This window comes from Homo sapiens, chromosome 10 (assembly GCF_000001405.40).
Source record: "Homo sapiens chromosome 10, GRCh38.p14 Primary Assembly".
Classification (NCBI taxonomy): domain Eukaryota; kingdom Metazoa; phylum Chordata; class Mammalia; order Primates; family Hominidae; genus Homo; species Homo sapiens.
In genome coordinates, this window is record NC_000010.11 from 73,271,490 (window position 1) to 73,294,088 (window position 22,599).

Below are 22,599 nucleotides of genomic sequence, written 5' to 3' on the forward strand. Positions count from 1 at the left end.
TGACAGAGCTATAAGAAGATACCAATACTATACTGTTAAGTCGAAAAAAGGTTACAAAGCAGTAAATATTTACATTTTATACATTAAAATTGCTTTCATATATATGAAAAAAGACGGGAGGAAAGTACATTCAAATGTTAACAGTGGTTATCACCAACTTGTGGAGTTACGGATACTTTAATGTTTTCTTCATATTTTGTATCTATTTGTCTATTTATTTTTAGAGGTGAGGTTTTGCTCTGTCACCCAGCCTGGAGTGCAGTGGCACAATCATGGCTCACTGCAGCCTCTAACTTCTGTGTTCCCACCAAGCAATCCTCCCACCTTAGCCTTCCAAGTATCTGGGACTACAGGCACATGCCACCATGCCTGGTTAATTTTTAATGTTTTTGTAGAGATGGGGGTCTTGCTCTGTTGCCCAGGTTGGTTTCTCTCAAACTCCTAGGTTCAAGAGATCCTTCAGCCTCAGCCTCCCAAAGTGCTGGAATTACAGGTGTGAGCCACTGCTCCTGGCTTCTTCTAAAGTTTCTATAATGAACACATATTATCTTTATGGCTGAAAAACAGCAATGAGGGGCTAAGTGAGGTGGCTCACACCTGTAATCCCTGCACTTTGGGGTGGATCACTTGAGGTCAGGAGTTCAAAACCAGCCTGGTCAATATGGTGAAACCCCATCTCTACTAAAAATACAAAAATTAGCCTGGCATGGTGGTGGGCACCTGTAATCCCAGCTACTCAGGAGGCTGAGGCAGGAGGATCACTTGAACCCAGGAGGCAGAGGTTGCAGTGAGCTGAGGTGACACCACTGCACCACTGCACTCTAGCCTGGGAGACAGAGCGAGACTCCATCTCAAATAAATAAATAAATAAATAAATAAGTGAGTAAGCTATTCAAAGAAAGGGAGAGACATGGAGTCAATAATATGCCTGAAGAAATTAGGCAGGAACAAGAGGATGTTTGCCTCTTTGAAGACTGGAGGAAATGAGGGAAGGTTAAGTAAAGAGTTTTTAGGAGAAGCAGAGCAAAAGCTTCTGCCAGAAGTTACAGCAACTCCTCCTGCATATCAAAGGGTCACAGTGCTTAGTAAGTGTCAATCAATTTCTTTAATTGACTTGAATAGATTCTTCATCTCCCATATCACCTTTTTCTTACAGATAATATCACAAAGGAGTGTCTATACCAAATAACATGAATTTTTTTTATTATGTAGCTTCTTGGTTCAGGTTTTTCTGGGATTTTTTAAAAAGATCTTTTATTTTTCTAGCTAGTTAAGTGACCTTCAGTTCACTGAACACCTTTGAAGAACAACTTTTCATTACAGCAGACAGCCCTGATTGCTATTCCAATGTCATCACAAACCCCCAGGATGCTTGGAAGGCCAAGGAATCAAGGTCAGCTGTATCCACAGCCCTAGTCTCAAGCCTTCATCCTCTTACCCGATAGCAGGCGATTCCCAGTCCTAGCCAGGTAAGGCATGAAGGTGATCTCTTACAGGCTTGCATATAGGTTTTCTTTGCCTTTTCATACTGTAGAAAGAAAGCACCACTAAGCTACTGTTCTAGAAGCTTCAAACCCCATATTGCTGGGATGATCATGGGATCTCTGATAATTGCTCTCCAGAACAATCTAAGTTAAGCAAGTCCTTTAATTGTACTTTGACGTCTACCTTAAGGGAGTTATCGCAAGAAGATTGGTGAGAGGAGATGGATAGATCACATGAAAGAGCAGACTTTCACTTGGAAGTAGTTCCAAAGACATTTATAGTCTCTGTAAGAGTTGAGGCAAGGAGTTACACTGAAAGTGGGGGCAACCATCATGATTATCTGAATTCCACCTCCACTTCATGGATTACTCCCTTTCACTTAAATGCAACATCATGTGGTGGCATGACAAACATACAATCTCTGGACTAAAAGGTATACTTGATACAGCCTCATCATTTTACACCTTTGTTGTAAAAGATCTTAGAATTTTAGAAAAACTCAGAAGACAAACTTTCAAAGGACATAGCCCTGAAGGGACAATTTCTTGTCCTGTATCTCCAACATGAGATACATCTATAGCTGAGCCTCAGCAAACAGCCTAAGACCTGCTTGCCCGGGGTCTGCCTAAGTCAGCAGTGCTCTGAAGATGCAGCTTTCAATGACATCAGAAAGAAAACTTCTCCTTATATACTTCACTACAGTGGGATAGGGATTTCTCTCAAGCCTATGTGAGCTTTCCACTTAACATCATACAGCATCGTAATTTCTTGTTGCTGTTGCTGTTTTATATTAAATAAAAAGACAACTGGGTGTTCTGACGGGAAAAATAGAATAAAGTCAAAACAAAAGCAGGGGAGTCAAAAGGCCTTTGGCAGAATGTTGATAATTGTTATAGTGAGATGATGGGTCCATGGTGTTTCATTCTACTATTCTGTTTGCTTTGTATGTACTGAAATTTTCCATAAAAGAAAGGTTTTGTTTTTCCAAAGAACTCGGAATATTTCCCAAAATATGGGGAGGGACTGCTTCCATGGTCAGGTCAGAGCGCCCTATGGAATGGGGTTAGCCTCAACCAGATTAAATATAACCCTTTGTGTTTAGGAGAAAGTTTGGAGAGAAGTCCTTTTGAAGCCCATGATACCTTCTGTTAAGTAAGTCAAGCTAAGGATGTTTCTACTACTGTGAATACAATTTTAGCTAGCATAACATTTACTGAGTTCTTAAGAACTGTTTAGTAGCATAATGGTTAAAATCACAGACTCTCGTTTCAGCCTGCCTGAGTTTGAATGCTGCTTCCACTAATTACTGGTTGTCTGATGTTGGGCAAGTCACTTTACCTTTGGATGTAAAAGTGTCATTATTATATTACTAGTTTTAGTCCACACAGATAGATGTTAATGCTTGAATTACAATTAGTTCCCAGACCACGGGGTTATTCCCCATTCTCTACCCCTCACCTCTTTCTCTTCCAGATAGATGAGCCCCAGTCTCAGGAAGATGAAGTGCATCTCAGAAGCATCCACTACAAAGCTAATGGTTCGTTCATAGCATGCCTTGGCCTCAGAATGATTTCCACTCAGAAAATAGAGATGGCCCTTCAGGCCCCAGACATTGGGGTTCTGGGAAAGTGAAAAGCAAGTAGTATATGGGATAAGGTAGTATTTAAAAGTACCTTGATGATCTTTGTTTAACATTTAAATTTAGATAGATTGTCCATTTCCTTTCTCTTTTCTTTTTCAGATCAACCGTTTTCTTTTTCTAAGAGCACTCAGAAACATAACCATTTAATTGTACAAGGAGACATTTTTCTAGCTCTGCCCTCAGATTTCTTTCTTGCATTCTTCAAAGCCATTTTGGGTGTGGAGTAAATATTAAGAAAAACATTCAAGCATAACCCCAATACTGTTCACATGAGAAAATATAAGAAATCTAGAAAAATTGAAATAAACACTATCAGCTAAAGATATCCTTTTCTCTGCTCTTTGCAAAACTCATGATTACTTTATTATTATTATTTTTTGAGATGGAGTCTTGCACTGTCGCCCAGGCTGGAGAGTGCAATGGCTCAATCTCCGCTCACTGCAACCTCCGCCTCCCAGGTTCAGGCGAGTCTCCTGCCTCACCCTCCTGAGTAGCTGGGATTACAGGCACCTGCCACCACGCCCATCTAATTTTTTGTATTTTTAGTAGAGATGGGGTTTCACTATGTTGGCCAGGCTGGTCTTGAACTCCTGACCTCGTGATCTGCCTGCCTCGGCCTCCCAAAGTGCTGCGATTACAGTTGTGAGCCACCGCGCCCAGCCAACTCATGATTACTTAAGAAAAGCAAATGGAAGGGTATAGAGAGATGAGTTTACTGACAGCTGATGACCACCCTTCTGTTCACCAGAAATCTACGTGTGATATGGCATCACCACCTTTAAATAAAGCCCCTTCTCCAGACTCAAGAGGCTTTAGCAAAAGTCATTACCAGGTAGTCCATCTGGGCTGCTTGTTGAAGGTATTCCTCTGCCTTGGCAAAGTTCTTCTTAAGAATGTGTGTTTGGGCCAGCACCAAGTAATATTCACAGCTGGGGCCTCCTTGAGGGCATAACAGCTCATGTGCAAGCACTCTGTGCACATACTGCAAGGATAATCAGATTATAAGCAACATATAAATGGCTGCATTGCGTCTTTTTCGGTTGAAGGATTCTGTCTCTGATAATAAATAATACGAAATGTATTACAGAATGAAATAATTATCCTCAACTTCAAAAGGTAAAGGGTGAATTACAAACATTCTGCACTTCATAGTTCCATTACCAGCTATTCACCTAGTCACCAAATGAAGACATTACCAAGTGAATAACTTGCAATATTGTACAATTCTGGTCTTGCTGGTCATCATACTAGGTGAGTGTTAGACTGCATGTATTATGCAGCAGACAAAGGCACATCATCAACCACCCCATTTACAAAGGAGGTAACATTTTCAGGCAGCTGACATTGTAAGGAAACTTAAGTGAGGTAAAACTGCCTTTCTAACAATCTAGACTTGAAATCTTAGAAACATAAATGTCTGTTTTGGATCCACCTCCAAACATTGGTTATGTTTACCAGTTTTGTAGTTTGGGTCAATTTTTGTATTTTGTTTTTTTTTTTTTCTTTTTTTAGAGACAGGGTCTTACTCTGTCACCCAGGGCTGCTTACTGCAGCCTTCTGGCCTCAAGCAATCCTCCTGCCTTGGCTTCCCAAAAGTGCTGGAATTATAGGGGTGAGCCCCATGCCTGGCCAAATCTTTGCTTTTTACACTTTATAAGACCTACAAAATTAACAAAGTTAGATATACTTCTTAAGTCGAGGGTAAATCCTTCTTTTCATCTCCCACTGTTCCCATCTCAGCCTATAATGTAGAAAATTCTACATTATACTTACACCTTTTTAGGAGAATACTAGAGGGAACAGCTGCAGCTATTTTTTCCACCTGCCTTCTGGGTCTCTGACCTGGGGGAGCTAATGACTTATTTAGCTGTGGAAGAAGAGAGTCTGTTTCTATTTTGCGGAGGGTTAATGTGTTAAAGCCTCCTGCTTAATGTGGCTCAATCCCACCCAGTTAATAATTCTTGCCCTTTCTTGAGCTTGCCTGCCCTTGAGTAGGGCATGCACTTGGCAGGATCAAAACCAAACACTCCTGGCTCCTGAGTCTTGATCTCTCCTACTGCTTGCTCATGAATATGCTTCTTTCTTCCCATGTAATAGGCAGACTTCCTAGAATGCTCTTCTTCTCTGAGAGGAGGCTTCAATTCTTCAGCTGCTCTACCTGTGACTGCATGGGTAAGTCAAATGTGGGGCTAGTTATGTTGTCCAGCCAAGTTTTACCAATAAAAATAAGCTAATATTTTTATTCCCCCACATAGTACTGTGTATGTTTCTAGTTGGATCTAACCTAGAAGGGAAGAAGGGAATGATTTGGCTCCTGTGAACCCCCAACACTCACAAAATGAATTCCCATAATAAAGTGATATCAGGCAACATATGCCTTTAGAGTCTGATTTAGCTCTGTTGGTATTCTACAGGGAGCAGAACTTGCAGCGAGGTCTTCTGCTGCCATGTGCAAAGAGTGGTTCATGTTTGGATGTTCTTTCCATTGGGCTTAAAGTATGCTCTCAAAAGCATATTTGATTTCTGTTTCACAAATATGGAAGCTTGAAAGATACCATTATGGATAGAATAAAGAGTTTGCTAAAATCTTTCCATCTACTTGCCCTTTTCCAAATACTCTGACCTGCACAGCCTTGACTTTCATCAAGAAATGTATGGTCTCCATGAAGATGGTGGTAGTTTGAGAAACACCATAATGAAGGCCGGGATGCAGAAGAGCTGATGAATCTTGACATTTTGATGCTTCTGAAAATATTACATTAAAAGGATTGAAGATTGGATATAACAGAAAAAGTGTCAGAAATTCAGACACATTCGGGTGGGTGCGGTGGCTCACGCCTGTAATCCCAGCACTTTGGGAGGCCGAGGCAGGCAGATCACGAGGTCAGGAGTTCGAGACCATCCTGGCCAACATAGTGAAACCCCGTCTGCACTAAAAATACAAAAATTATCTGGGCATGGTGGAACGTGCCTGTAATCCCAGCTACTTGGGAGGCTGAGGCAGGAGAATCACTTGAACCAAGGAGTCAGAGGTTGCAGTGAGCCGAGATTGCGCCACTGCACTCCAGCCTGGCAACAGAGCAAGACTCCATCTCAAAAAAAAAAAAAAATTCAGACACTATTCACTTGGCAGGGAGAGTCTTCTTATCTAATACATGAGAGGGATCATAATCTAGAAAGCAATTGACTGCTCTCTAGCAATGGTCCCCAAAAAGGAGCACTCAAAGGTTCTCAAGGTAAATCTACTTGTGGTTCCAAATGCAAGTACAACCAAATAAAAAGGTTTAAAAAGGTATTCAGATCTTCTTGAATGTGAAACACAGTTTGTAGATGTTTTTTAAAAACGAAGAACTGTTAGGAAATCATAGATCTGTAGTTGGCTACTTCTGTGAGCTAAATATAAAATCCTTGCTTACTGAGAGAGTTACACCATTGAGTTTGGATTTCAGAGCCTGGTTATCAACTTCAAACAAGTCAGGATTGCCATTTCATCATCGTAAGAGTCTTCATCCTTGTCTAGCTTATGCCCCTCTTCCAAGTGGAAATCTTTATTTCTAGTTACCTTTCTTTGTTGGTATCTCCTTGATAAATGTGTTAGATGGTTTTTGGCTTATACTTGGATCCCAAGTTTGTGTAGTCAAAATGGGTTCTTGTGAATCAGACTGCAGTTTGGAGGATTCTTCAAGAAATTTGTCTAGAATAGATAATGCAGCTCCTGGTCCTAAATAGATTACATTTTAATGAAAAATAAAACTTCTTACATTGGGTGTTTAAAGGTTATTGTAAGAGATACATTTTGCAAAGCATAAGAAACATATTCCCTAAATATTTCATGAAGGACAGACTTGTTTGGTAGACTTGTTTATATTTTTTAATAATTTAAAGAGTATAAGCTAAACTGACAAAACAGTTTCTGTCACTGTGACTCCCCAGTACAACCATGCTGCTAGTCCAAGTCATAATATCAAACAGATCCCTATTTTAAGTTATTAAAAAAATAAATAAATCTTTTTATTTAAACATTTACATACAGATCTTTGCAAGGATACGTTTGTTTCAGTTGGGTTAAGATCTAGGAGTGAGGCCGGGCGCGGTGGCTCATGCCTGTAATCCCAGCACTTTGGGAGGCCGAGGCAGGTGGATCACGAGGTCAGGAGATCCAGTACCATCCTGGCTAACGCAGTGAAACCCCATCTCTACTAAAAATACAAAAAGTTAGCCGGGCACGGTGGCAGGCACCTGTAGTCCCAGCTACTCGGGAGGCTGAGGCAGGAGAATGGCGTGAACCCAGGAGGCGAAGTTTGCAGTGAGCCGAGATCACGTCACTGCACTCCAGCCTCGGCATAGAGCGAGACTCCGTCTCAAAAAAAAAAAAAAAAAAAATAGGAGTGAAACTGCTGGCATGTGTATGTATGTTTAAGCTTATTTCAAAACTTGTCAGTTTCGTCCTCACTTTAGTAGCACACATACTAAAATTGGAACAGCACAGAGAAGATTAGCATGGCCCCTGCACAAGGATGACTCACAGATTCCTGAAGCATTCCACATTTTAAATGGCATGTAACAAAATATCACTCCATAAATACGTACAAATACTATATATCAATTAAAAAAATAAGAGGTTGGGGCCGGGCGTGGTGGCTCACAGCTGTAATCCCAGCACTTTGGGAGACCAAGGTGGGCAGATCATGAGGTCAGGAGATCAAGACCATTCTAGCTAACACGGTGAAACCCCATCTCTACTAAAAATACAAAAAATTAGCCGGGCCTGGTGGCGGGCGCCTGTAGTCCCAGCTACTCGGGAAGCTGAGGCAGGAGAATGGCGTGAACCCGGGAGGCAGAGCTTGCAGTGAGCCCAGATGGTGCCACTGCACTCCAGCCTGGGCGACAGAGCAAGACTCTGTCTCAATAAATAAATAAATAAATAAATAAATAAATAAATAAATAAATAAATATAAGAAGTTGGGCGAGGTGACTCACGCCTGTGAGCCCAGCACTTTGGGAGGCTGAGGCAAGAGGACTGCTTAAGCTCAGGAGTTCAAGACCAGCCTGAGAAACACAGTGAGACCTCATCTCTACTAAAACAAAAATTAGCCAGGCATGGTGTTGCACACTTGTAGTCCCAGCTACTCTTGAGGGACTGAGGTGGGAGGACTGCTTGAGCCTTGGAGGTAGAAGTTGCAGTGAGCCATGATTTTGCCACTGCACTCTGGCCTGGGTAACACAGCGAGACTCTGTCTTAAAAAAAGAGAAAAGAAAAGAAAAATAACCTTTAAAAATTGCCGTTTATTGGAAAGCCATGTAAGTATATGAAAAAAAAAAGAAAAAACTTACCAGTTTTCTCAAGTGGTTACACCATTTTGCATTCTCACCAGGAATGTTTGAGAGTTCCAGCTACTCCACATCCTTGTTATAAATTTGTCTTATCAATCTTTTTAATTTTAGCTATCCCGGTGATAAATTACACTGATTTTCAAATGTGAAACTGATCTTACAACCCTGCTTAAATATATCTTTTCTATATGTTGCTGAAATTGATTGGCTAATATTTGTTAAGAATTATTGTGTCTAACCAGGTGTGGGGCCTCATGCCTATAATCCCAGCTATTTGGGAAGCTGAGGTGGGAGGATCACTTGAGGCTAGGAGTTTGAGACCAGCCTGGGCAACATAACAAAACCTTGTCTCTTAAAAAAGAATAATAATAATAAAATTAAATAAATAAATAAGTATTGTGTCTAGGCTTATGAAAGTTATTTGTATGTACTCTTCTTTCTTTGGGATGGCTTTGTCTGGTTTTGATACCAGGGTGATTACTGTTCTCAAATTATGAGTTTGTAAGTGTTCTCTTTTTCTCTATTTTTTGAACATGTGGTATGATTGGAATTATTTCTTCCTTAAATATTTAATAGAATACACTAATAAAGCCTTTTGGGCCTGAAGTTTTCTTTGTGAGAGGTTTTTATTACCCATTTAACCTCCTTAGGAGATATAGGGCTATTCAGATTGTTTCTTCCTGAGTACATTTTGTTAGTTTATGTCTGTCAAGGTATTCATACATTTCATTTAAGTTGTTAAATTTGTTGGCATTAAGTTGTTAATAACTTCTCCTTATTAACTTTTTAATATTTATAAGATTTTCAGTGATGTCCTCTCTCTCATTTGTGATATTGGTAATGTGACTTCTTTTTTTCCCTGATCAGATTTATCTGTTTCATTGATCTTCTGAAAGAAACAGCTATTGGTTTCATTGATTGTCTCTATTTTTGTCTGTTTTCTATTTCACTGATTTCTATTCTGGGCTATTATTTCCTTCCTTTTACTTATTTTGGGTTTAATTTGATTTTCTTGTTCTAGCTTCTTAAGGTAGAATCTTAGATCATTGATTTTAGACTTCTCTTATTTTCCAATATAAGCATTTACAGCTATAAACTTCTCTCTAGAAAATAATTTAGCTAATTCCACACATTTTGCTTTGTTTTGCTATCATTATCATTAAGTTCAAACTATTTTCTAATATCCTTTGTGATTTCTTCTTTGACCTGTGGGTTGATTATTTATTTATTTAGATCTGTATGTATTTATTTATTGAGACAGACTCTCACTGTCACCCAGGCTGGAGTGCAGTGGCACAATCATGGCTCACTGCAGCCTCAACCTCCCAGGCTCACGTGATCCTCCCACGTGAGCCTCCCTAGTAGCCGGGACTACAGACATGCCACCACACCTGGCTATTTTTTTTTTTTTTAATTTTTGTAGAGATAGAGTTTTGCCATTTTGTGCAGGCTGGTCTCAAACTCCTGGCCTCAAGTGATCTGCCTGCCTTGGAGACCTGTGAGTTATTTAGAAGTGTATATTTCCAAATACTTGAAGTTTTCCTATATATCTAGTGATGAGATGGTAAATGTTTAACTGCTGGCTGTCAGGGGTGTGGGTGGAGCCTGGTTTGCTGATTTCCATGACGTAAATTCTCCTACCATGGCCAATTTCAAACTACCGATGTTATGTCATTGAATATAGAGTTTCAATCCCATTACTGGGTATATATCCAAAATAAAACAAATCTTTCTACCAAAAGGACACATGTGATTGCAATATTCACAGTAGTAAAGACATGGAATCTAGCTAAGGTGCCCATCAATGGTGGTCTGGATAAAGAAAATGCAGTACATATACACCAAGGAGTACTGCGCAGCACAAAAAAGAACAAAATCATGTCTTTTGCAGCAACACGGATGCAGCTGGAGGCCATTATCCTAAGTGAATTAATGCAGGAACAGAAAACCAAATACTGCAAGTTCTCACTTATAAATGGAAGCTAAACACTGGGTACTTGTGGACATACCGACGTGATTCTAGTGAAAGAGAAGGTGGGGAAAAGGGGCTGACTGGGTTCTCCCCCAGCTCCTCCTAATGAAAAGAAATAAAAAGAAGCCAGGGATCCCCCAAAGCCAAATAAGCTCATGGATCAACTCATCCATATTGAGGCTGGGGAAGGCTGGGGAAGGCTGGGGAAGGCTGGAGAACGAAGCAGCCATGCGGATGGCCTGAGCCACATGCAGAGAGGAGGAGCGGAGGGGAGGATTGGGCAGCTGGCCTGGCTAGCTATCGGGGTGGAGGGGCAAGGCCAGGGCCAGCTTACCCTGAAAATCCCCCTCACACATATCCAAAACTGCACCACTCATGTCACACAGCTGCAAGAACACAATGACAGGATTCAGAGAAAGGAATGAACATCACAAAACATGAATGTCACACACACAAAAAAAAAAACTATGCCAATATCATAGTCCCAGGCGGGCCACACCAAACCATGATGGATTCTACACTGGCTTAGAGATCTGAATGTATGGTACAAAACAACAGTCTGCTGCCAAAAGGACATTAAAACAGGGTCTGCATGGGGCTCCCTGTAACTGGGATTACAGGTGTGCACCACCACACCCGCCTAATTTTTGTATTTTCAGTAGAGACAGGGGTTTTACCATGTTGACCAGGCTGGTCTTGAACTCCTGACCTAGGATGATCTGCCTCCCTCGGCCTCCCAAAGTGCTGGGATTACAGGTATGAGCCACCATGCCCAGCTAATAAGTTATATTTTTATTTTCATTCAGTTCAAATTTTCAAATTTCCCTGTGACTTCATCTTTCATTAGAGGAATATTTAGATATGCGTTGATCATTTCTAAGTGTTTAGAAATTTTCCTGTTATCTTTTTTTTTTTTTTTTTTTTTTTTGAGATAGAGTCTTGTTCTGTTGCCCAGGCTGTAGTGCAGTGGCCCAATCTCAGCTCACTGCAAACTCTGCCTCCGGAGTTAAAGTGATTGTCCTGTTTCAGCCTCCCAAGTAGCTAGGATTACAGTCGTGCACCACCACACCCAGCTAATTTTTGTATTTTTAGTAGAGACAGGGTTTCCCCATGTTGGCCAGGCTGGTCTCAAACTACTGACTTCAAGTGAGCTGTCAGCCTTGGCTTCCCAAAGTGCTGGGATTACAGGCGTGAGCCAAGAGCCACCACACCTGGCCAGATTTTCCTGTTATCTTTCTATTACTGATAACTAGTTTGGTTCTGTCATGGTCTGAGATCATACATTGTATGATTTCAATTCATTTAAGTGTGTTAAGGTCAGTTTTATTGCCTAGGATATAGTTTGTCTTGGTGATGTTCCATGTGCACTTGAAAGAATGTGTACCTTGCTGTTGTTGGGTGATCTATAATATCAATTGGATCCCACTGGTTAATGGTGCTGTTCAATTTTTCTATATTCTGTTAATTCTCTGTCTAGTGGTTCTATCAAATACGGAGATAGGGGTGAGACACACCCAACTCTAAGTATGAATTTGTCTGCATCTCCCTTCGGCCCTGTTAGTTTTTGCTTCATTATCTTAAAAAGCTGTGTTGTTTAGTGCAAACACACTTAGAACTGGTATGTCTTCTTGGTGAATTAACCCTGTTATTGTTCTTTAATGTTTCTCTTTGTCTCAATTGATTTTCTTTGCTCTGGAGTCTTCTTTGTCCATTATTAACACAGCTACTCCAGCTTACTATTATTGGTTCATAAGCTCTTATTGTTTATCCTTTTATGCTTAATTTATCTATATCACTATATTTGTTTGTGGATTTTGGGGGACAGGTTCTCACTATGTTGTCCAGAGTGGTCTCAAACTCCTGGCCTCAAGCGATCCTCCCACCTCAGCCTCCCAAAGCACTGGGATTACAAGCATGAGCCACTACACTCAGCCTATATCATTATATTTGAAATGAGGTTCCTGTACACAACATATAGTTGAGGTTTTAAAAATTATTATTTAAAGTCAGTCTATGTCTTTTAATTTGTATGTTTAGACCATTTGCATTGAATGTAATTATGTTAGTTTCCTATTGCTGCTGTAACAAATTACTACAAGCTTAGTGGCTTAAAACAACACAAACATATTATCTCATAGTTCTCAAGGCCAAAAGTCTGAAATCAGTTTCACTGGATTAAGGTCAAGATTTGACAGGGCTAGCTCCTTCTGGAGGCTCTAAGGGAGAATTTATTTCCTTGCCTTTTCAGCTTGTGGAGGCTACCTATATACCTTGGTTTGTAGCCCCTTTCCTCCAACTTCAAAGCCAGAAGCATAACATCTTCAAATATCTTTCTCTAGCCCTCTGATTCCGTTATCACATTGTCTTTTTTTTTGTCTGTGACTTCTCCTGCATCTCTCATATAAGGACCCTTGTGGTTACATTGGACCTACCCAGACAATCCAAGATAATCTCCCCATTTCAAGATTCTTGACCACATTTGCAAAGTCTCTTTTGCTATATAAGGCAACAGTTCCAGGTCCCAGGGATTAGGACATGAACATCTTTGGAGGAGCCATTGTTTAGCCTACCATAGTATTTATTTATGTTAGGATTTAAGTTTGCCATTTTAGTATTTGTTTTCTATTTGTTCTCTCTGCTTTTTATTCTACTATTTTCCTTTTTCTGCCTTCCTGTGAATTATGCGAACATTTTTTAGTATCCCATTTTGACTTATCTATAGTGTATTAGAGTATATGTAATTGTGGTTTTTTTTTAATGGTTGCTGTTAAGACAGAGCTGCAAACTATAGCCTATGGGCCATATATGACCTGCCACATATATATATATATATATATATATATATATATATATATATATATATATATATATATATATATATAAAAGTTGTTTTGGGACACAGTCACATCCATTTTTAAATGCATCATCTATGACTGCTTTCACATTACATTAGCAGAGTTGATTATTTATGACAGAGACCAGATGGCCCACTTTCAAATTACTGTTTTAAAAAATATTTTATACTTGCAACTTGTAAGAGGGTTTGCCACACCACTTCATGCTGCTTCCATTACTGTAAATTGAACATTAGTCTTATAAATGTGATTTCAGCTGATAGAATGGAAACTAAATTACAAGAGGTAGGCAAATTAGATATATAAGAAACTGAGACAAATTAAATGGAACACATGTACATTGCTCCATTAGTGATATATGGAAGTAGAGAAATACAATACTAGGTTAAATTAAGGCAGGCAAGAGATTGGGCTATTTTGAATTACCAACAGAAGAATGTGTTGGACATGGGCTATGAGTCTAGATGAAGAAGATGGAGACTTCCAGTTAAACAGAGTAGATAGGCTATGTATATATATTTCCTTATTCTTATTTCGAAAATCTCACTAAAATGAGAATTTAAAATGTATAAACCTACAAAGATGAAGAAAACAGAAGAGGAAAAGTAAACTACAAGAAATATCAAAAAACCTTTGAAGGACAGAAAAGTAGATGGGAAGGACTTCTGCTTCTGGCAATTATTGACTGGGTCATTCAGACCAATTTCCCACTGAGGGCAACCAGAAAAGGTGAACAAAATATATATTTTTAAAACATGCTTGAATATACCAGAGAGCTAACCAGATAGACTCTCTAAGCTCACATCTAGGAAATGCAGAAACCCAGGGTTTCAGTTCATCATTTGAAACTATATTTTCTTTTTTTTTTTTTTTTTGAGACGGAGTCTCACTCTGTCGCTGAGGCTGGAGTGCAGTGGCACCGTGTCGGCTCACTGCAACCTTTGTCTCCTGGGTTCAAGCAATTCTCCTGCCTCAGGCTGCTGAGTAGCTGGGATTACAGGCGCCCACCACCACACCTGGCTAGTTTTTATATTTTTAGTAGAGATGGGGTTTCACCCTGTTGGCCAGTCTGGTCTTGAACTCCTGACCTCAGGTGATCCACCCATCTCAGCCTCCGAAAGTGCTGGGATTACAGACATGAGCCACCATTCCAGGCCTGAAACTATATTTTCTTGCATGGGTATATGAGTTTCAAGGGTGAGACTGAGAGTCTGGCAGGCTCAACTTTACTTTTGATTGACTCTCAAGGATGTGTATGGCAGACACTGGTAGACAATGACCACCAGAAGGAATTTGAGTTGAGATACCAAAGAGCTACACTCTAAGAGTAAAGGATGAAACTGAAATAGGCCTTCACAGGAATTATAAGTCATCTTCAAATCCTTGGCCTGGCGCGGTGGCTCACGCCTGTAATCCCAGCACTTTGGGAGGCCGAGGCGGGCGGATCATGATGTCAGGAGATCAAGACCAGCCTGGCGAACATGGTGAAACCCCGTCTCTACTAAAAATACAAAAAATTAGCCGGGCGTGGTGGCGGGTGCCTGTAGTCCCAGCTACTCAGGAGGCTGAGGCAGGAGAATGGCGTGAACCCGGGAGGCGGAGCTTGCAGTGAGCCGAGATCGCACCACTGCACTCCAGCCTGGGTAACAGAGTGAGACACCGTCTCAAAAACAAACAAACAAACAAACAAAAAAATCCTCTTGATCCCTCAAACTAAATTAGTTTACCAACAGAGTGTCCTATATATGATTTAAAAATAACCAGACACACAAGGATACCTGACAATATGAACCAAAACAAATAAAAAGGAGAGAAAATATAAATAGTGCCACAGGAGGTTGGGACACAAACTTTATAGTTGCCAAGGCCAGCTCGGTCATGGAGACCCTAACCCAGTGGCGCTAGAGGAATTAAAGACACACACACAGAAATATAGAGTGTGGAGTGGAAAATTGGGGCTGACAGCCTTCAGAGCTGAGAGCCATAAACAGAGTATTACCCACATATTTGTTGACAGCAAGCCAGTGATAAGCATTGTTTCTATAGATTATGGATTAGCTAAAAGTATGCCTTATGGGAAACAAGGGGATGGGCCGAAACAAAGGGATGGGCTCTGGCTAGTTATCTGCAGCAGAAACATGTCCTTAAGGCACAGATCACTCATGCTATTGTTTGTGGTTTAAGAACGCCTTAAGCAGTTTTCCCCCTTGGGTGGGCCAGGTGTTTCCTCGCCCTCATTCCAGTAAACTCACAACCTTCAGCATGGGCGTTGTGGCCATCACAACATTTCACAGTGCTGCAGAGATTGTGTTTATGGCTAGTTTGGGGGCCAGTTTATGGCCAGATTTGGGGGCCTGTTCCCAACAGTAGTCACTGTGATCAAGAAGATAAAGGTCAGATTAAGAATTTAATCAGAGAACAGTAAACTATAATAAAAGTGATGAAATGGGAATTTCAGAGCCTATTGCTCCTACACTACAAATGTGTACAGGCTGTTACTGTACTGAATACTGGAGGCAACTATAATACAATGGTAAGTATTTGTGTATCTAAACATAGAAAAGGTACAGTAAAAATACAGTATTATAATATCACGGGACCACTGTCACATATGTGATTCATCATTGACTGAAACGTTATGTGGTACATGACCACATTTTTATGTGTATGAAAAAACGATGCTTTGATTATGTAGGAAAATATTCTTAATCCTAGGTGATATATGCAAATATATTTTTTCTATTTTATTATTTATTAATGTGTATTGTAGAATAAACTTATTTTATGCATGCATGGCCTCAATATGTTTATTACTCATACTTTTCTTAGGAAGCTTCTGGAGGATGTGCTCCACCAAAATGAGGAAGCAAAGTATGAAAGAGGAAGGCACAGAATCCAAGAAATGATGCATCTTGAAGTTAAAGGAGATTTTCAGAATCACAGCAAAGGAACATCCCAGGAGAAGAGTTACCCATCAGGCCTAGAGGGTAAGCACTGAGAACTGAAGAAGGAAGATAGAAGGCTTTGGAGGAAGAAATATCTCTAGGGGGGAAAAATGGACTGATGCATTTTAACATCTATCTATCTATCTATCTATCTATCTATCTATCTATCTATCTATCATCTAACTATTTTTTTGAGATGGAGTCTGGCTCTGTCACCCAGGCTGGAGTGCAGTGGCGCAATCTGATCTCACTGCAACCTCTGCCTCCCAGGTTCAAGTGATTCTCCTGCCTCAGCCTCCTGAGCTGCTGGGACTACAGGTGCCCACCACTACACCCAGCTAATTTTTGTTTTTTTAGTAGAGACGGGTTTCGCCATATTTGCCAAGCTGGTCTGGAACCCCTGACCTCAGGTGATCCACCCGCCTTGGCCTCCCAAAGTGCTGGGATTACAGGTGTGAGCCACCGTGCCCGGCCAAACATATCAAAAACATTGATGGGCACTTGACAATACTTTTGAAGCATGCGGGGGAAAAAGGCAAAAGGAACACAGAATACTAAGTTTTCTGAATAAATTAGGCAATTTTTAGTTCTTGGAAAAATAAAGCTATAAAAGAACAAAAAAATACAGAAAGTGGCTCAGCAGAGAATAGTATGTTTATAGAAATAATAATATAAACATTGATATTGATGTGTCTTACCTGTCTAATATATCTCAGGTTCTGTCAATGCCATAGACCCTCAGGTGCATGCTCTGTATCAGGCACTTTGGCAACTACTTCTCTATGAGAGGCCCAGTCACAGTCCTGCTGCTAAGGCTGACTGCCAGCACTTGGGTTCATGGAGTCCTACTACCTAGGAACTACTTATTTCTTCACCAAAGAGAGCCAGGCCCTCCCTGACCCCTTGGTAGGACAGTTAGTTCAACCAGCCACATAATCTGAGTTCCTGGCTCTTCCCACCACTTCTGGATTGGACAGAATTCTACACTTTAGGGTATGGCATATGACTTCTCAAGCAGGTACCAAATGGACCAGACTATAGAACTTGGAAGTATGGGTCCAATTAACTCCACAGGTGATTAATTTTGACCAGCGGAAGAGAAGAGACAAAATAACAGATTCTCTTTCCTTCTTCCTTCCCATATTATTCAGTCATGGTTTCCCTATATAGCCTGAATGCTTGGAGATGTCCCACAAGACTAAGCAAGTTTACCTGCAAAGCAACCAGCTGCATTCTTTGCAGTTTATCATAATGAAATGGCCAATGTAGACATAAGGTGTCACCTTACATTGGTTCATATCCTTTGTTGCCTCTCTTACTGTTTTTTCCTCACTCTGCCTGTTCTGAAATTAACTCTTCTAATTAAAGTATTAGCATTAAATTCTTGACTCAGGCTCTATTTTATATTAAATCCAGGCTAATAGAATTGATTTTACAACAAAAAATTGTTATGATTACATAAAGATGATGAACATCAACTGAAAAAGAGCAACATTTCAAACTCAAAAAAAGAGACATACTTAAACTTTAGAAGCATAAATCAATAATTAATTAATTTATTTATTATTATTATTTTTTTTTGAGATGGAGTCTCACTCTGTTGCCCAGGCTGGAGTGCAGTGGTGCGGTTTTGGCTCACTGCAACCTCTGCCTCCTGGGTTCAAGCGATTCTCCTGCCTCAGCCTCCTGAGTAGCTGGGACTACAGGCCTGTGCCACGGGTCCAGCTAATTTTTTGTATTTTTGGTAGAGACAGGGTTTCACCATGTTAGCCAGGATGGTCTCGATCTCCTGACCTTGTGATCCGCCTGCCTCGGCCTCCCAGAGTGCTGGGATTACAGGCATGAGCCACCGTGCCCGGCAAATCAATGATTTAAATAACATATATAGAGAAGAGTAACAAAACCAAAACCTGGTTCTTTGAAAAGATTATGTTAGGCCTTTGTCAAGACTTATCAAGAGAAAAAGGCAAAGGATGCAAATAAACAAAATGCAAGTTGAATGGGGTAATTACTAACAAAATCCATATTAAAAATAACAAGAGGCTGGTCGTGGTGGCTTATGCCTGTAATCCCAGCACTTTGGGAGGCCGAGGCAGGCAGATTGCCTGAGGTCAGGCATTCGAGGCCAGCCTGGGCAACATGGTGAAACCCCATCTCTACTAAAAATACAAAATTAGCCAGGTGTGGTGGCACATATCTGTAGCTCCAGCTACTTGGAAGGCTGAGGCAGGAGGATTGCTTGAACCTGGGAGGCAGAGGTTGCAGTGAGCCAAGATCTCACCACTGCACTCCAGCCTGGGTGACAGAGCAAGACTCCATCTCAAAAAAAAAAAAAAAAGACTTGTAGATGAATGTCCATAGTAGTTTTATTTTAATAGTTCCAAACTAAAAACAACACAGGTATCTATCAACAGGTGAATGGATGAACTAATTGTGGTATATCCATACAATGGAATACTACTTAGCGATAAAAAGGGATGAAATATTGATATAAGCAACAACATGTTTAAATCTCAAAGTAATTATGCATAGATAAAAAAGAGTACATACTGTGTGATTCTATTTAATTCTGGAAATTCTAGAAAATTCCAGGTGTTTTCTAGAATTCAAAAATTCTAGAAAATGCAAACTTATCTATGATGATAGAAAGTAGACTAGTAGTTGTCTGGAAATGGGAGCAAGAGAAAGAGATGCCCACAACTGGGCATGAGGAAAATTTTAGGGACAATGAATATGTTCATTATGTTGATTGTGGTGATGTTTTCTTGATTGTGTACATATGTCAAAATTTATCAAATTGTACATATTAAATATGTGCAGTTTTTGAAATGTCAATTACACCTCAAACTGTTAAAAAATGTAGGCACACAAAATAATAATACACACATGCAAGGAACACACAAACAAAAACACACATACCACACAGAATGACTGGAGGAAAAGAGAATCACAGAACAGCAGGGGAAAGGGAGTACATAAATAAATACATTTGAGAATCATAAGAGAGGGACTCTATGTGGTAGAGAGAAAAGTGAGGGGGGAAAAATGAAATTTACTCTGTTAGAATGGTGCCCCTTTTAAAGACAGTAAATTCTCTAAGATTAAAACAATTGAATCTCAACAGTAGAAGTTTCAGACCACTAATCATATGAATGAGGAAATATTTAGAAGTTCAGAGTTTTTCCTGGTATCCCTGAAATAACTCAAACTCAATGTATTCATTCATTTAACAAATATTTACTGAGTGCCTACCATGTGCCAGCTTCTGTTCTTAGGGCCAGTACTTTTCTTTTTATTTTTTAAATTTTGTTTTAGAGATAGGATTATGGTCACTCAAGCTGGAGTGCAGTGGCATGATCACAGCTCACTGCAACCTTGAACTCCTGGGCTCAAGTGATCCTCCCATCTCAGCCTCCCAGGTTGCTAGGACTACAGGTGTGAGCCACCACACCTGGCAGTAATTTTTCTAATAGCCACTCTTCACCTCTATTCCCTGGCTCTACCTGCTGGGGCTTCCACCTTGATTGCTGTTGCAGAACCATTTGTGATTCCCCAAGGGCCTAAACTAGATTCTCTCTTCCCTCTTTCCTCAGTGTCTTCTACACCAGTGCTCTTTTGCTTTGTTACTTGTGCCTGAAGCATCCGTGCCTGAAGCTGTTTGGAGGCCTCATGAAATGCCATTTCCATTCGAATATCATTGTTTTGAATTTCATAGTACAAACCTGGGGAAAGAAAAATGTTGAAATACATATGACTATTTTCCCACTATCATATACTAAAGAATTGTATTTCACTTATTTTTCCCATATTTTACCAAAGTTTAAGAACTACATGATGAGCCATTGAAGAAGAGAAAGGAAAAAGGGAAAATCTTATAATGGGGAGAAAACACATTCAGATTACAAGAAAATATCTACCAAGTAAAGTCCAGGCTACAACATTAGTTGGTTCCAAGCAAGTAGCATCCTCAAAGAAAATTTCTGCTTGCTCATAGTTCTCCAACAGGACAGCCAGGACACCACACAGCAACAAGCTGAGAAAAGATCACCAACATGATTAACAACACGGTCCCATGTCACATTTATGGAACCAAGACAATTTCACGTAGAAACTTATCTGTTCCTTCCCACTGATTCCTCATCTCCCTTCCACCTATACCTGTGGATATGACTCTGGTTGAGGGAAAGGGCTTTCTGAAAACACTCTTGTGCTTTGATGTTGTCTTCAGTTAGGAGGCAGAAGGCACCATAGTCCAACCAGTGATCCAGATTCTGGGGCTCACGGACCAATCTCTAAGCATCAGGAGAGCCAAGGTTATTGTGATACTATGTCCTATTTTTATGCATACGACATCACATGGTAAACACTGTAAATACTGTAAGTTCTATGAAAGCACAGATTGTGACTTCTTTTTTGCTTATCACTGAATCTCAAATGCCTAGTGCAATCACTGTTCTGGCCTTTAGTAGGTGGTTGAAAAAAGTATTAATATAATTAAAAATTTGAATCATCAAGCTATTTGTTCCTAGTGTCAGTATTCTGGTCACTTTAAACTCATCTAATACCTTGGGAGCCTAAAGATTCATTGTATTGTATATCAACCATATATAATAATTTCTGCAGTAATCTTCAGATGGCAAATATAAGTTTATCTACAAATCTGAAAAATGCACTTCATGATGAGTGAAAACTATAAAAATTGCTTAAATAAATTTAGAAAGACATAAATAAATGGAAAGACATTTCATGTTCATGGATTGGATGACTTAATATTGTTAAGATGTCAATACTATCCAAAGCAAGCTACAGATACAAGGCAATCCCTATCAAAATCCCAGTGAAATGCCTCAAAATTCTCAAAAAGTTAAACACAGAATTACCGTATGTCTCAGCAATTTCATTTGTAAGTATATAGCCAAAATAATTAAAAATAGGTACTCATATGAATGCTTATGTGCAAATATTTTTTAGTTTTGAGAGTGCTTTATATTCTGGATACAAATCCTTTGTCATACATATGTTTTATAAATATTTTCTCCTAATCTGTACTTTTCCTTTTCTTTCTCTTATGACCTCCATAGAGCAAATGTTTTTAACTTTGCTCTATGGAGCAAAGTTATCCATTTATCACATTTTTCTTTGATCGATCATGCTTCGGTGTCACGTCTAAGAACTCTACCTGATTCCAGGTCAAGATTCTGTCCTATGTTTCTTCTAAAAGTGTTGTAGTTTTACATCTTACATTTAGATATATGTTCCATTTGGAGTTGAGTTTTGTAAAATGTTTAAGGTTGAGGTTTATTTTATTTTTTGCAATTGTTCTAACACTATTTACTGAAAAGACTATCCTTTCTCCATTAAATTTCTTTTAGGTTTGTCAAAAATTGAATGACCTTATTGGTGGGAACCTATTTTTGGACTTTATTGTTCTATGTGTCTACCCTTTCACCAATCAAGTTGGATTTTAAACAATCAAAAATTACTATTATGCCCATATTTCACAAATAATAGTAACAATCACTGGGAAGATGTTTAATTACCTCTTTATAATATGCTGCTGCCATCTCAAAGTTCTCATTGACTTCTGCTTCAAATGCAAAGAGTTGAAGCTGTTCACTGCTTGTATAAATGGTTGCAACAGTGCCTTGGACATCATCTGGCATGGTCTTGTCAATGTCAAGATGTTAGGTAGACAAAAATGAAACAATTACAAGTAGAGAGGTTTCATAAGCATAAATCCGATGTGAGATCCAGTTATGACGTCTAAAATGTTACTGATTGATGTCTATAATGACAGTCTTGCCAAAAAAGTAAAAGAATAAGAGTGAACCAGGAGAGAAATGTCAAGGGTGAAGGAGAAGCTCAGGTATCTGAATACCAACAGTCTGAGCTCATGGAAGTAAGTAAAAATTGCTTAGGGCAGAAATAACTGCCTCAACCCTCAGGGCATTCATAGTCCCTATGCAGGTCACCTCTGACCTCAAACAGCTTCCTTCATTTTCTGTAGTGTATATGACAAATACTATCATTTTTTTGTGTCATGACATGAAAAAGGTTGGCAAGCCCTCGCTAGGGTCTTTAAATGTGAAGAAAACAGGAGATTAAGGGTAAACCTTTAGAAGCCAAATCTATAGTTTTAGTAGGAAATATAGACTGATAGATCCTTCAAAGGAAACAAAAAGGTAGGAGGAAAACCAGAAAAAGAATATATCCTATACACAAAGATTGGGAGAGCAGGTCTGGTGTAATTAGGAATCTCCTGAGTCAGAAGCTATGGTCAAGAAAGAGTCCACAAAATTCTTTAATTAGAAGTCAAAATAATATCAGTGATTTTAATAAGGATAATTGCTAAGAAATGTGGACAGT

The 22,599-nt window shown here is 39.6% G+C and overlaps 1 protein-coding gene, 1 long non-coding RNA gene and 1 pseudogene across 24 annotated transcripts in view; 2 read left to right on the plus strand and 1 right to left on the minus strand.

Annotated features, from left to right (window-relative positions):
- The window catches only part of DNAJC9-AS1 (DNAJC9 and MRPS16 antisense RNA 1), a 29,618-nt gene extending 24,123 nt beyond the window's left edge, over positions 1-5,495 (plus strand). For both annotated transcript variants that reach the window (NR_038373.1, NR_134458.1), the window contains 2 exons: positions 1,324-1,469; positions 2,959-5,495. This is a non-coding gene — a long non-coding RNA (DNAJC9 and MRPS16 antisense RNA 1). The remainder of the gene's footprint in view (positions 1-1,323; positions 1,470-2,958) is intronic.
- Positions 1-22,599, minus strand: part of CFAP70 (cilia and flagella associated protein 70) — a 109,218-nt gene that overhangs the window by 17,728 nt on the left and 68,891 nt on the right. For 15 of the 22 annotated variants that reach the window (XM_047424551.1, XM_017015627.2, XM_017015621.2 and 12 more), the window contains 9 exons: positions 21,774-21,899; positions 20,392-20,525; positions 20,151-20,266; positions 19,737-19,955; positions 6,690-6,848; positions 5,751-5,872; positions 3,957-4,109; positions 2,944-3,105; positions 1,439-1,528 (listed from right to left, as the gene is read on the minus strand). In XM_047424551.1, coding sequence (XP_047280507.1) covers positions 1,439-1,528; positions 2,944-3,105; positions 3,957-4,109; positions 5,751-5,872; positions 6,690-6,848; positions 19,737-19,955; positions 20,151-20,266; positions 20,392-20,525; positions 21,774-21,899 — 1,281 coding nt within the window. Of the gene's footprint in view, positions 1-1,438; positions 1,529-2,943; positions 3,106-3,956; positions 4,110-5,750; positions 5,873-6,689; positions 6,849-19,736; positions 19,956-20,150; positions 20,267-20,391; positions 20,526-21,773; positions 21,900-22,599 lie in introns of those variants that run through there. The other 7 variants (XM_017015626.2, XM_017015625.2, XM_017015623.2 and 4 more) reach the window with 6 other exon arrangements.
- Positions 7,573-7,679, plus strand: RNU6-833P (RNA, U6 small nuclear 833, pseudogene; annotated as a pseudogene).